Consider the following 14946-nt stretch of genomic DNA (forward strand, 5'->3'; position numbering starts at 1 on the left):
TTCCCAGCTACGATAAAACTTAACCATCTTATCTCTGCACTTTTATTTAACCTCTCAGTTAAGAAATGACACCTTCATTTCATGGGTGCCTTGAAGCAGAACATGTTAGATTTTTTTAACAAATCCTATGATACGGTTTGGATTTGTGTCCCTGCCCATATCTCATGTCAAATTGGAGGAGGGGCCCAGTGTGAGATGATAGGATCGTGGGGGTGAATTTCCTCCCTGCTGTGCTTGTGAGAGTGAGTGAGTTCTCCTGAGATCTGATGGTTTAAAAGTGTGTGGCACTTCCCCTGTGCTCTCCCTCTCCTGCTGCCATGAGAAGGTCCTTGCTTCCCTTTCACCTTCTTCCACTGTATGTTTCCTGAGGTCTCCCAGTCATGCTTCCTGTTAAGCCTGCAGAACTGTGAGTCAATTAAACCTCTTTTCTTCATAAATTACCCAGTCTCAGGTAGTTCTTTATAGCAGTGTGAAAATGGACTAATACACCCTAGTGATGAGGAATTTAGAGAAGCTTCTTAACATAATTTAGAGATATAATATGCTGGCATCATCTCAATAATTTACCTAGCTTCTAAGTTTCTGAATAGAATAGCTTATTTGTGGACAAACTAATAGCATTTTAATAGCTATCACAAAAATGGCTGGGACTTTTTTCACTCCAAACTAATGTATTTTATGCAAACTACATTATACTAAAAGAAGTAACAATAACGTGTTATGAAAATTTTTTCCTGAAATAAATTTCCCCTGGTTCATTTTCTTCTCCTGATTTTGACAGGTAAATTTGCATTTTATTCCACTAGGTGGTAGTATACAGAGCACAGATAGAAAATGGAATAATTCTGTACATTAAATCCATTTGTAGAAAAAAGGTCTTGATAAACCTCTAAGTAATATTTTTATTCTTAGCAAGCAGGTAAATTATAGACTATAACTTTTCAATGCTGAGAGAAAATGTGTTTATGTATACTAATACTTTATTTTCTGCAATTTAACCAAGGTCAATTCATGTTTTACAAGTACTTCAAGTACTGGTGTTGATCACAGACTAGTCACCTTCATCCTCAAATGATTACTTACACCAATTCATTGTCTTTTCATGAATAAAACTGTGATTTCACTGAAAATGGTCACAGTGCTTTAAGACAATGAATAAGATCTAACACTAGGCAGAAAGAGAGGAAGAGAGCTTTATGATTGGGTCTGTTTCTATGCTTAGGAGTCATTATTTTTTTCTATGTTTCAATTATCCCTTCTAGCCTGAAAAGCAATCTAAATTCTGTGCTACTGTTAAGAGTATTTTATTATGAACTGTTATACAAAAAAAGGTAACTGCACTCATATGTTTATCACAGCCCTGTCCACAACAACAAAGACATGGAATCAACCCAGGTGACCATCAATGGTGGACTGAATAAAGAAAATGTGATACATATAAACCATGGAATACTATGCAGCCATAAAAAAGAATGAACTCATGTCATTTGTAGCAACACAGCTGCAGCTGGAGTCTCTCTATCCTAAATGAATTAACACAGAAACAGAAAACCAAAATATCACACGTCCGCACTTATAAGTGAGAGCTAAGCATTAGGTACATATAGACACAAAGATGGGAACAATAAACACTAGGGATTCCAAAAGAGGGGGAGGGGAAAAGTGTTTAGAAATACTACCTATAGTGTACTACGTTCACTACTTGGGCAATGAGATCCTTAGAAGCTAAAATCTTTGTATCACAACATATACCCATGTAACAAACTTGCACATGTAACTCCTGACTCTCACATAAATTTTTTTTAATTAAAAAAAGTCAATTAACTTGTTTCACACAAGAGTATTTTATTATATAATATTAAACAACTACAAGCAAAATCCCACGATGATAAGTTCAGTCATCTGATTAAATAAAGCAAAAGCCACATAAATAATGAGAACATATGGATGACAATAGCTGATGAATTGTGTGAGTCAATTTCGATGAGTCACATTCCTTATAAACACTTTAACACTTTGGCTTTTTACTCTACTAGCTTCCTGGAATATTCAAATACATGAGGAATTAAAAGGGGCTTTAAAAAAAAACATGAAAAATGAGAAACATAAAATTTCAAATGCAGCATATTTAACTTCTCAAGAGACCACATTGACTTTGAAGCTGAAATGATGATGTGTTTAAAAAAATAAAGACTTTTTTTACTTCACGAGCTATACCTCACAAATACATGGCAAATACATATACAAGGGTTTTTAAATACATGGATATGTTGCATAGAAGGACAAGACACTGAGTGTGATGGAAAATAAAAAGACATGTCACAGAGAAAATCATCACTTTCCTCTGATCAGTCAGAAATTACTTTATCAAAAGGCAGGATTTCAGAGGTGATTTGAATGACGGCAGGAAAGAGCTCAGTGAGCTGAGAAGAGTACTATTAGCCTATGTTTTGGCCTAGAAGCCAGAGAGGCACAGCAGCATGTGCAGGCTTGAGAATAATTCTGCCTAGGCAAGGCAGATGAGAGGCAGAAGAAATAAGATAATTGGAAAAGACAGAAGAACATTTTTCCTAAAGCAAGACAATTTTTTTTTTAATTTGAAGAGTAGCCTGTTTTCTTTTTTAAAAAACTACTGCCAGTTGTTTTGAAAGAAGTTTAAATTGTTAAAGGGGAAAATAGTAAAGAATACTGGACTAAGGGGTGCTTCAAGGGAGAGCTCAGCGGTCCATACAGGGCTTGAATGCTGTGAGGGTCAGGAAAGCGAGGGCACTGAATTCATACTGTGTTTATATAGGAAAAGCTACTATAGCTGGCTTGCTGAAAGATCAAAAAATAATAATAACCCCCAATAGTATGCATTGCTTTTTGGCTCCAAAATATTTCACTGTCATTATCTCATACAACAGAACAATTCAAAAAGTTATAATTCCTATTTTTAGGTTGAGGAAACTGAGGCTTCAAACAATTTGCCCAAATGTCATGGTTATTAAGTTCTAGTTCTTCTCCTCTTAATCCAGAGTTATTTCATACTTTACCAAAGCTTGAAAAAAATATTAATAAAGTACCCAAGATCTCCTTACTTTAAGAGAGTTCCAACTGGTATCTAGCTTTCTTCCCGCTGAGCCTTCACCCATAGTGAGACACAGCGGGGATACCTCTTAGGGACCTGCTGAGTGCCCCCCGCCCCTGAGCATAAAAATAAAGGAACAGCTTGAGTTCCTTCAAGAGAAAGTCCAGTCATCCTGCTAGCCTTGAGAAGTAAATGAGCAACTCGATAAGCAAAAAGGGAAACAGTAGCTTAAAATAATCACCAAGGAGGTCAGAGTCAGAAGATGTTTGGTTTCCTATAGAAACTAAAGATAACATCTTAACAGATGTTCCAGAGTTGTTTTTCAGAACCTGGATCACCATCATATGGATCCTCCAGACCACAGATAACGAGGGAACTGAGACAACTCTGGACATACTGGCTATGAGGTAGCCCTGCTCCGCAGGAGCAGTTAAAAAAAAAAAAAAAGAAAGAAAAAAAAAAGAAAAGGAATTGAGGACTGAATTATCACCATTCTTTGTTTTCCATTTTGTTTTTTTAGATGGAGTCTCAAGTCTCGCTCTCTTGCCCAGGGTGGAGTGCAGTGGCGCAATCTTGGCTCACTGCAACCTCCACCTCCCAGGTTCAAGCGATTCTCCTGCCTCAGCCTCCTGAGGAGCTGGGATTACAGGCGTGCACCACCACACCCGGCTAGTTTTTGTATTTTTAGTAGAGATGGGGTTTCACCATGTTGGCCAGGCTGGTCTCAAATCCCTGACCTCAAGTGATCCACCCTCCTCAGCCTCCCAAAGTGCTGGGATTACAGGCGTGAACTACCACGCCTGGCACCATTCTTTGTCTTAAATTTCTTTCTGAGAAGTCTGGAGGAAGTCCGCCCATGGGCCAGACCTAACATTCCTTTCTGCTGATTCCATCTTTATTTTTTTTCTTTTTCTTTTTTTCTTTTTTATTTTTTTTAGAGACAGAGTCTTGCCATGTTGACTAGGCTGGTCTTGAAATCCTGGCCTCAAGTTACCCTCCTTCTTCAGCCTTTCAAAGTGCTGAGGTTACAAGCATGAGCCACCACACCTGGCCTGCTGATCCCATCTTTAGACAAATATCCCCTTCCTTAAACAATGTGCAAATCAGAAAATATTTGGATTTACCTGTAACCTGTAAGCCCCTACTTCAGGATATCCCACCTTTTTAGGCCAAACCAATATATGGCTTCCATGTGTTGATTGATGCCTTTGCCTGTAACCTCTGCACCTTACATGTAAGCCACTGTGGAGTTCAGGTCTTAAGCATGAGCTCCCTGATTCTGTTTGCTTCTTGACCTGCAAATAAACACCCTCCTTTCTCCCACTGTAAAACCCCGGTGTGGATGATAGAGCTTACTGCACTGGGTGAAATAGCCTTCACCCTCTACACACCCCACGCTCAAACCATACTGAACCCCTTCCATTGCTCCTCACTTTCCTACTTCCATATGCTCTACTGCACTACTTCCTCTGCCTGGAACACTCTCCTTCCAATGCCCTCCTATTATGGGTTGAATTGTGTCCCTAAAATTCCTATGTTGAAATCCTAACCCACGGTGTGACTGTATTTGGACATCGGGCCTTTAAAGAGGTAATTAAACTTAAATGAAGACATGAAAGTGAGGCCTTAATCCATAGGCCTGCTGTCCTTATAAGAAGAGGAAAAGACACCAGAGATAGCTCCCTTGGCCAGATAGAGGAAAGGCCCAGAGAGGACATAGGGAGAAGGTGGCCATCTACAAGCCAGGAGAGCTCTTACCAGAAATCAGCTTTACAGGCACCCTCATCTTGGACTTCTAGACTTTGGAGCAGTGAGAAAATAAACACCTGTGGTTGAAGCTGCCTAGTCTGTAATATTCTATTATGGCAGCCCTAGCTAGCCACAGGATAGAATGCAGGCCTAGGAATCCTACAAATCTGGTCTTCAAGCTGGCCCGCAAACTGGTCAGTTACAAACTTTTCTGCAGGTCCCTGAAACAAAAACTGGATGAAGTTTCCCTCTCGTCTTGTTTTATGTCCTTGAAAGCTTGACCTTGTAACCACGTGGGGGTACTTTCTCCTGATCTCTGCCATCCAGAGGGTGTGAATTTTGGGGTTCCTGTCAATTAGTCCTAAAAATTATCTTGAGCAGTTAAAAGCCTTTGCAAGCTCAAAATTGGCTGCTCTAGGCTCCTTCTCGGAGGAGCAATGGAGACTGTGCAGTACTGCAGCTCAGTAACTAAGGCTTTGCTATTTCACAGTGGTGGCCTGGATTCAATTCCTAGCTTCGGGAATGAGTCCTTTCTGGTTTGATATCTATGTGACCTTTGCCATTTATTAATTATCTTCCCCTCATGAACAACTTCTGACTCCCTGTCTTGAATCTTCCTTTCTCTGAGCTATGTTTGGAGGTTCCAGATCTTGTAAAAACTGCTTACCACCTCTTTGAAAATACCTCCCACACCTGTGGTTAAATCATAACCTTAGTTAAGGCTTATTGGTTTCACCTGGGAGGTTACTTTTGGTAAAGTTCAAAAGCCAGAAATATTAGCTGTTTGTCCTGGCTAGAGTCTGATAATAAGAGATTTGGTTAAAAGTCAGCTTAATTAAAAGTGATGTCCAAGATTATCTATCTATCTATCTATCTGGCAGGTTTTATATTGATTTTTTTCTAGATAAAAGTTTTTTCTTCTCAGTCAACTGAATTGTTTTTCTCATTTTGTTTTCTTGCCACTCTTGATGCCCACATTGAGAGGACCTAAGATCATTTCTAACAGCCTGGGCTTCCTTAGAAAAAACTGAGGGAGCACCACAGGCTCCATTTTGGGAAAAATCTGTTTTCCTCATGGAACCCCAGGAATTGAAGGCAAGCAAATCCCTCTCAAAATCCAAGGCATTGCTCTGATTTGCATTGTGTTACCTAATGTTTTTTACTTGTAGGGGTATCAGAAATTACTTTGCATTATGGGAGAGCTTTTAACCTTGGTGTGTAATAACTAGGCAGGAAATATGCTTTAAGGGAAGGCTAATAGCAGTTATAGGGGAATACCCCACTCTGTGCACGTTTGGATCAGAGAAGCATGCTCTTGGCCACCTAGAAGGTATGGAAACATTCTTCTACACCTTCCAAAACTCCCAGAGGGGATGGGCTGATTCCCTCTTTTTGGGATCCAGAATCCAATATAAAAATGAGATCTGTAATTTTGGGGAATCTGTTTTGCCTTCTAACTGCACCTGTTTATTAGGCCCCAGAAACTGCATGTTTTCCCGGCTCTGTCCCCACACGTTGCTCCACCCTGAAGCCAGTAATCCAATTAAGATTCTTAAAAGCTGGCAAATGAAAAAATTAACAGCTACTGGGTCTTCTGTCTGTGTATTTTTGTGTGTTGTATGTGTGATATGCATAGAAAAGAGCTCTAATTAATTGGCTTGAAAAATAAGCACTTAAATTGAATATTTTGTCAGAAAAATAAAAACTTTAACACCTTTTAATTCATGGGACTTTAATAATCTTTGGGAAATAAAGAGAATCAAATATATTGGTAAAATAAAAATGTCTTCAAAATTTAGACATCTGGTCTAAATTAGGTCAGATTAAATTAGATTTGCTGAATGCTTCAATGCCATAAACTGCTTCTTTAACTTGATAATTGTTCAACTCACCTGCTTTGGAGCCATTAGATTCTAGGTAGGGCCTGGGGACATGTGGAGTTGGCCATGCCCCCTAGCTATGCTGGAAAGACTCAGACCTTATCTGCACTTCTGTCTGGCGTCCTAGGCTCCACACCTGGTACATAATTAAAACCACTTATTTATCAGACTTTTCACCAAATATAAAAGTTGCTAAGAGTTAACATTGTAGCACATGTAATTGAGGCTACCAGAGAAACAGTGTTACCTGCAAGGCGTGTAAGGAAAATAGAATGTGTTTTTGGTAAAAGATTATAAGAAGGCATGGGAATGTGGTCTTATTGCCTAGTTTACAGAGTTAAAAGACTGTTTTAAGTTACATAGGATAAAGCTAAAGGTTTGAGTAAGTTGTGGGAGGTCAGTGAAAATTAATCTTGTAAAAGAAATTCTGTGTGTTAAAATATTAGCTAAAGTTAAAGGGTATTATTCAGTTTTTCCATAAATAGAACATTGGAATAAAAGCACAACAGGGTTTTCTTAGAGCATTAATCTGCTCTTTAACAACAACAAAAAAAAATTGTAAAGGACTACAAAAGGTTTATGAGAATCTTATCTCATGGTAAAATTGATTAAGATTGAATAATTTGTCTACAAGGTTTTCTTAAGAATTGGATTTGACATTCATTAATGCAAAGATGAAATTTGGCTTTCTCTCTTGAACAAAATTTTCATGTAATATTAAAAGATCATGGAAGATTTTTGTTTGCCTTTTGAATAAACAACAAAATAAAGAAGAAAAAGTGAGACATTGTTTGGAAAGCTGTCTTCCCTCTATCAATGAGTAAAGGATTTTGCTTGCTGGGCGCAGTGGCTCACGCCTGTAATACCAGCACTTTGGGAGGCTGAGGCGGGTGGATCACGAGGTCAGAAGATGGAGACCATCCTGGCTAACATGGTGAAACCCCGTCTCTACTAAAAACACAAAAAAATTAGCCAAGCGTAGTGGCGGGTGCCTGTAGTCCCAGCTACCCCGGAGGCTGAGGCAGGAGAATGGTGTGAACCCGGGAGACGGAGCTTGCAGTGAGCCGAGATGGCGCCACTGAACTCCAGCTGGGCGACAGAGCCAGACTCGTCTCAAAAAAAAAAAAAAAAAAAAAGGATTTTGCTTTTGGAAAATCTTTGTATTATCATTTTGGCTAAATAAATGACTTTACAGTGACCTGGGATTCGATTTTATAATATCAAGTGTTTTAAATCTTTGATATTTGACAAACTTTCCAAAATCAAATTCTATATTATGCCTTTTCCTGATCTGGTCAATACTTTAGATATGAGGTCCCCTTAAGTCCAAAAATGACATATTTGGCTTACTTGGTATATTAAAATCATACAGGAAGCACTGTCAAATATGAAATGGTGTTTAGCTTTCTTTGAGTTGTATTTGTATAAATATGTTATTGGTATGTGCTCCAAAATTATGGGAAACTCCTAAATTCTGATATGACTTAGTTTATGTTATCAGTAATAATTATAACTGTTATGTAAAATTGTTGTATGCCACAGAAGTAACCAAAATTTCTAGTCAATTGTGTCTTTAACCACGGCTTTCCTAAGACTTTATGTTATCCACAGAAAATTGTTGTCTTGTTTTGATCCTCTTTAAAAGATGGTTTATAATCAGATAGAGGGCTCTTAAATGCAGGTTTCTGAAAAATTTTGTAAAGTGTGCCATTAAGATAGAGAGGAAAAAAACTTTCAAGAGTCTCCCTTGGGAAACCAATATGTTCATAAATATTGAGCAAACAGGAATTAACAGCATGGACTAAACTAATAAAAGAACAAAATAACCTTCTAGTGACTTTTTGCTTAAAATGTTGCTGATCCTTTGTTTCATTTTTCAGAGTCAAGAAACCTTTTTTTTTGAGCTATTTACAGTTGTTAAAAATTGAGTAAATTATACTCCTATGAGAAAACTTTGGAGCATATTTCTTTCTACCTGATTTCTCAAGAATTTGAAAACTATTTGTGAGTATTCTTAACTTATGGCAGCATAGTAATTTGCATATGTGCAATAAAAATCTGTTTTCCTTTGTAACAGGACACAATTAGAGACACTGCCTGTTTTACCAGGGCTTTGACTGGAATGGCATTCTTTCAAATATAAACAGATTGCTTTAAGGAATCAAAGTTGACTTACAGAACTGATGAAAGCCTCTGGGAAAAGCTGGCCTCATACCTTGTCTATTCAATTCCTTTACAGGGTTCCTGACCTGTGGTAAGTAAAGAATGTCACTTTCTGACAGGCCTAGGAGCTCCAGTTATCTTGGGATCTCAAAAGGAGAATTCACACAACTCATACAAGTATTTGCAGGCACAGATAAATCTGTGTCTCAGCTCAAGGCTTTAGAAAGTCTAATCTGAGATTTCTTATGGAACAAAGTTACATCAAAGTCAATTTTTAAAAAGCCTACGTGGCAAATAATTATTATTGCTATGCTTTATACAAATAACCAGGCCAAGCATAATAAGACTAAAGCTTACTGTGCAAACAAATCAGTCCTACCATGATTTGTTTTCAATAGAAATGGGAGACTGGAGAGAGAAAAATTATGTTTCAGAAACTATGGTATACTTGTTATTCAACTCTAGTCCCATTCATTGTTTCGAGTTTTTTCTGCCATTTAGATTGACCCTGTTTGTTCCTATGAACCAACCAGTGATCTCTAGCTGCTGCTCAGAAGAAACAGAAGGGTAACATAAATATCTGGATCAGTATTTTAATTCTGAACATGTGTTGGAATTGGCTAGCAACCCCATATAAGCTTGGTTCCAACAACTGCCTAGTTCATGGAAAGGCTTGTTATTTAGTTTAGTTGGGATAATTATACTTATTTTGCTTTACTGTTGTAGAATATATTGCTGTGGTACTCTTTGTGTAGCAATGCAGGATAAGACTACTCAACGTTTTCTTAAATTGAACACTTATTAATCTTCCAGATATCACCTTTTGTGAGAACTCGGGAGTTAGGAATGGCCTTCACCATACTGATGCTTTCTCACTGAGCTCCTCTCTACCCTGAATAGTTACGCAAAAATATCATCACCTGTATTCAGCCAGAAGAAGCTACAGAAGATGGATCTTCATCTGTCTGCAAATTTTGGGATTAAGGGTCCCTTTGGGGGTATTGGGGAAAATATGTCAGAACTATTTAAACCAGAGCAACTCCATCTTGAATAGGGGATAGATAAAATGAGCTGAGACCACCTGTGCTCCATTCCTAAGAGGTCAGGCATTCTTAGTTACAGGATGAGATAGGACATTACAAGACAGATACAGGTCACAAAGAACCCACTGAAAAAACAGGAAGCAGTAAAGAAGCCAGCCAAAACTAAGATGGTGAGGAAATTGACCTCTGGTCATCCTCACAGCTTATCTTAGGCTATTTATAATGCATTAGCATGCTAAAAGACATTCCCACCAGTGCCATGGCAGTTTACAAATGCCATGGCAACATCCAGAACTTACCCTATATGGTCTAAAAGAAAGAGAAACCCTCAGTTCTGGGAATTCCCCACCCCTTTCCAGGAAAATTCATGAATAATCCACCCCTTGCTTAGCATATAATCAAGAAATAACCATAAAAATAGCCAACCAGAAGCCTTCAGTGCTGCTCTGCTTATGGAGCAGCCATTCTTTTCTTTCTCTACTTCTCTAATAAACTTGATTTGATCTTACTCTGTGGACTCACCCTGAATTCTTTCTTGTGTGAGATCCAAGAATCCTCTCTTGTGGTCTAGACTGGTATCCCTTTCCAGTAACACTCCAATTAAGCTTTCTTCTCTAAAAGTTAAACAGAAACCAGTGCTTCTGAAAGACTGGTATCAACCACCTGCCTGACACTGCCCCTCCCTTTTGCAGTTTCAACACAACAACAAGAATTCTTTCCTGATAAGAGACCTCTGACCACAGAGTGGTTCTGGCCAGTCTACAGAGGCTGAACACAGAGGGCTTTCGTGTCCTCTGCTTCACCTTTTGATGTATAGGCCCTAACTGTAATACATTAAATGTTAAGGCTCCACCCCAAAGTGACTTGTGATGCATGCTGCATACACGTTAGCCTACTATGTATGTGTGTGCCACCCCTTCGTGAATACTAATAGCTCCTCCTATAGCCTGTTGAATATATATACTTAGCCACCCTGCTCAGCATAAATTCCCGTTCTCTTTTCCCCTCTCTCTCCTTTCCAAATTTATGAGCCCCATCATTCTTCAGTTAACAATATTTAGGACTGCCAGAACTAGAGGAACTTCTACCACACTTCAATTATTTTCATTTGTAAAAAAAAAAAAATCTGATGCTAGTCCTAACATTTTGCATTGACTGACACCCTAGAGAAAATGTCCTTTGTCTCTTGCCTGATTTCCTTTAGTTCTAGCCAATAAACTAATGGGCAATCCATACATAGGCATTTGAAAATGTATCACTGGGGAAGCTGAAGTCCAAATTTTCTGAGACTTGCTGTAACAGGGCTAAGGGATAAATCCAGGTTTATTTGCCAGCCCTGTTCAAAGAAAAAAGATGGTATAAATTTAACACTTGATAAAAAGGCTGATCAACTCTTTTAAGTTTTTAGATAAGAATGACCTTAGAATTTAAAAGAACAGCTAAGAGAAAACTAAAGACAAAGTGGAAAAGACTAAAAGAACACTTAACACTCTTCTCTAACTTCCTCCTGTGTAAAAGAAGTGATAATGACTACTCACAGGGTTAATATAAGGATTACATTAGATAATATGTAGAGAGCGCCAGGGCTCGATATTTTTAAGCACGCAAAACTAGCAAGTGTTATTGTTTTTGCAAGAAATCATTGCTAACAGAAATGGTAAATACATTCCATATGTACAATACAAAGAGCATAAAAATGACTGTAAACATGACCACAGAACTTCAGTCAACACTCAACGTTTGAAGAGTGGAAAATGAGCATTTGGGAAAAAGACAAGAATTATCATGCCAGTTATTTGGGAAATACAGGTTGGCAAATTTGGAATCAATCCTAAATATGGATTTTAGAATGAATTATTTAAAAAGTGGTCCAGGATACTTGATAGGAAAGTACTCAGGAGGTGCTACAGTGAGTCACCCTTAGAAAGGCCATGCTTTGGCTGGGCACAGTGGCCCCCACCTTTAATTCCAGCACTTTGGGAATCCTGGGGCAGGAGAATCACTTGAGACCAGGAGTTTGAGGTGAGCCTTGGCAACATAGCAAGACCCCATCAATACAAAAAATTTAAAAATCAGCCAGGTGTGATGTCACATGCCTGTAATCCTAGACACTCAGGAGGCTGAGGTGGGAGGATTACTTGAGCCCAGCAGGTCAAAGCTGTAGTGAGCTATGATGACACCACTGTACTCCAGCCTGGGTGACAGAGCAGGACCTTGTCTCAAAAAAAAAAAAGAAGCCATGCTTTTATTTCACTTTCTGGAATGATTCCAAATCAGGAGTCGACAAACTTCAGACTGCTGCCTGTTTTTATTGCTTTTATTGGAACATGTTCATTTATTTATGAATTGTCTATGGCTGCTTTTGTACTATAAAAGCAGAGGTGAGTAGCTATATAGCCTACAAAGTCAAAAATATTTACTATTAAGACCATTACAAAAAAAGTTTGCTAATGCCTTCTCTAAGTGACAAGAAAATGCTACAGGATGGTTATTATCGCACCAGGAATGACCTCAAAACCAAGATCTCCTCACTGGCTCCTGCCTTTGACCTTGTGGTTATATCCAGTTTGGCTCAGTTGACTAGGCCTCCCACTGTGCTGGCCCTAGAATAGAAAGACAAAGAAGACCACAAAGGATGCTAATATCTGCAATGAAGATATACCCAACAACCCCAGCTGAGAAGATGAGGAAGAAGATATTGAGTCAAGTAATGAAGAGCTCACACCAAGACACTATGGTGTCAATGGAGCAGTATGTGTGTGACCGTGCAAGGTGGGGGTTGGATGCTGCTCTACTTAGTCACATGTCCCTGCCTGCTTACGTGGTCACCCTTAGAAGGAGAACTATGATAGGAATGTGAGAAATCTTTTGAACATTTTAACTATCAGTTTTCCCTTCCTTCTGGCTAATTACTATTAGCTTAGAGATATGCCATAATATCTCCCAACTAAGACACACACTCCCTTTAGCATCTATCCCATTCCAGGGAGGCGTCCATTCTCTGTCCCACTGTGCAGCAGAATTCCTCCTGACATTTATACATATTCAGCATCACAGCTACCCATTCTCTCATTCTCTCTCAAATCCCAAACACTGCAACCCCACCACCCTACTAACACATGCTTATCAAGATCACCAAGGCCTTCCACATTGACAAATCCAATACTCAGTTCTCAGGCCTCATCTCACTGTGGCAGGATTTGCCACAGCTGCTTGTGGTTTCCAGGTTCACTTGGTTTCCAGTCCACTAAACCTCTCTTGTTTTTCTTTCTACCTTGCAGGCTGCTACTTCTCAGACAGCTTAGCATTTTACAAACTCCCTTTCTTCTAAATGCTGACCTGCCCCAGGGGTTAGTCCTTGCCTTCTTTTCATCTCTATCTACAGTTCTCCCCTTAAAGATGTAATCTAGTTTCTCACCTTCAAAGGCATTTTTATGCTTAAAGACAAGAATCTATCCCTTAAATTCCAAACTCTCCCCTGAATAATAGACTTTCACATCTATAGTACCTACATGCATGACTGTTTTAACTCTTTATTCTACCCATATCACTCCAACAAACAAACAAAAAAAGACTTCTTTCTCATTCTTCTCCATCTTAGTAACTGATTACTATCCAGTTGCCATCGCCCAAAAGGAAAACAGCATCTCTTCTCTCACACCCACATCCAACCTATCAGCAAATTGTGTGAGCTGCAGTAAGTATCCTTGAATGTATGTCTTCACATGCAACAGGGGATATAACTATAACATAAATTTCTTGAAGAAAACCTACATCTTTAAGGCTCCCAAATGTAATTTTCCTGCTTTATTCAATTTACTAGTAACAGTTCTTATATTTGTTGTATCAACAATATAATAGTTGATTAACAAGAAACTGAGAGTGAAATTATATTGGCTGTGTGTGTGTATGTATATGTGTATGTTATATGATACATATACATGTTATAAAATATAGAATATAATATATAAAATCTGGTTAAATACATCAAATATAATTGTATCAACAATATAACGGTTGATCAACATTATAACCGTTGTTATCAACAATCTAATAATGGTTGATCAGTAAGAGACCAAATTTAATTTTCCTGCTTTACTCAATTTACTAGTAACAGTTCTTATATTTGTTGTATCAATAATATAATGGTTAATCAACAAGAGACTGGTTATATAAATTATGCTACTGAGAGATGACAGTGCTGGCAGCCCTCCCAGCCCTCACTCGCTCTCGGTGCCTCCTCGGCCTCGGCGCCCATTCTGACCGCGCTTGAGGAGCCCTTCAGCCTGCCGCTGCACTGTGGGAGCCATTCTCTGGGCTGGCCAAGGCCGGAGCTGGCTCCCTCAGTTTGCAGGGAGGTGTGGAGGGAGAGGCATGGGCGGGAACCCGGGCTGCGCATGGTGCTTGTGGGCCAGCTGGAGTTCCGGGTGGGAGTGGGCTTGGCAGGCCCCACATTCGGAGCGACCGGCTGGCCCTGCCAGCCCCGGGCAGTGAGGGGCTTAGCACCCAGGCCAGCAGCTGCGGAGGGTGCACCGGGTCCCCCAGCAGTGCTGGCCCACCGGCGCCGCGCTAGATTTCTCGCCGGGCCAGATTTCTCGCCAGGCCTTAGCTGCCTCCCTGCAGGGCAGGGCTCGGGACCTGCAGCCTGCCATGCCTGAGCCTCCCGCCCCCCGCCACCGCTGTGGGATCCTGTGCGGCCTGAGTCTCCCTGACGAGTGCCACCCCCACTCCACAGTGCCTGGTCCCATCAACAGCCCGAGGGCTGAGGAGTGCGGGTGCACGGCGCGGGACTGGCAGGCAGCTCCACCTGCAGCCCTGGTGCAAGATACACTGGGTGAAGCCAGCTGGGCTCCTGAGTCTAGTGGGGACTTGGAGAATCTTTACGTCTGGCTAAGAGATTGTAAATACACCAATCGGCGCTCTGTATCTAGCTCAAGGTTTGTAAATGCACCAGTCAGCACTCTGTGTCTAGCTCAGGGTTTGTAAATACATCAATCAACACTCTTTATCTAGCTAATCCAGTGGGGAGGTGGAGAACTTT

At 39.9% G+C, this 14946-nt stretch overlaps 1 protein-coding gene across 39 annotated transcripts in view, besides 1 other annotated feature; it reads right to left on the reverse strand.

Moving 5' to 3' along the window:
* The window catches only part of BCAT1 (branched chain amino acid transaminase 1), a 139317-nt gene that overhangs the window by 41781 nt on the left and 82590 nt on the right, over positions 1-14946 (reverse strand). The gene's annotated exons all lie outside the window — the stretch shown is intronic.
* Positions 10740-10859: an enhancer, noted in NCBI's record as "active region_6104". NCBI's record gives its function as "activates an Ori minimal core promoter by ATAC-STARR-seq in GM12878 lymphoblastoid cells {active_cell/tissue: GM12878}" and the evidence as "EXISTENCE:reporter gene assay evidence [ECO:0000049][PMID:35858748]".

The sequence above is a fragment of the Homo sapiens genome, chromosome 12 (genome assembly GCF_000001405.40).
Source record: "Homo sapiens chromosome 12, GRCh38.p14 Primary Assembly".
Classification (NCBI taxonomy): domain Eukaryota; kingdom Metazoa; phylum Chordata; class Mammalia; order Primates; family Hominidae; genus Homo; species Homo sapiens.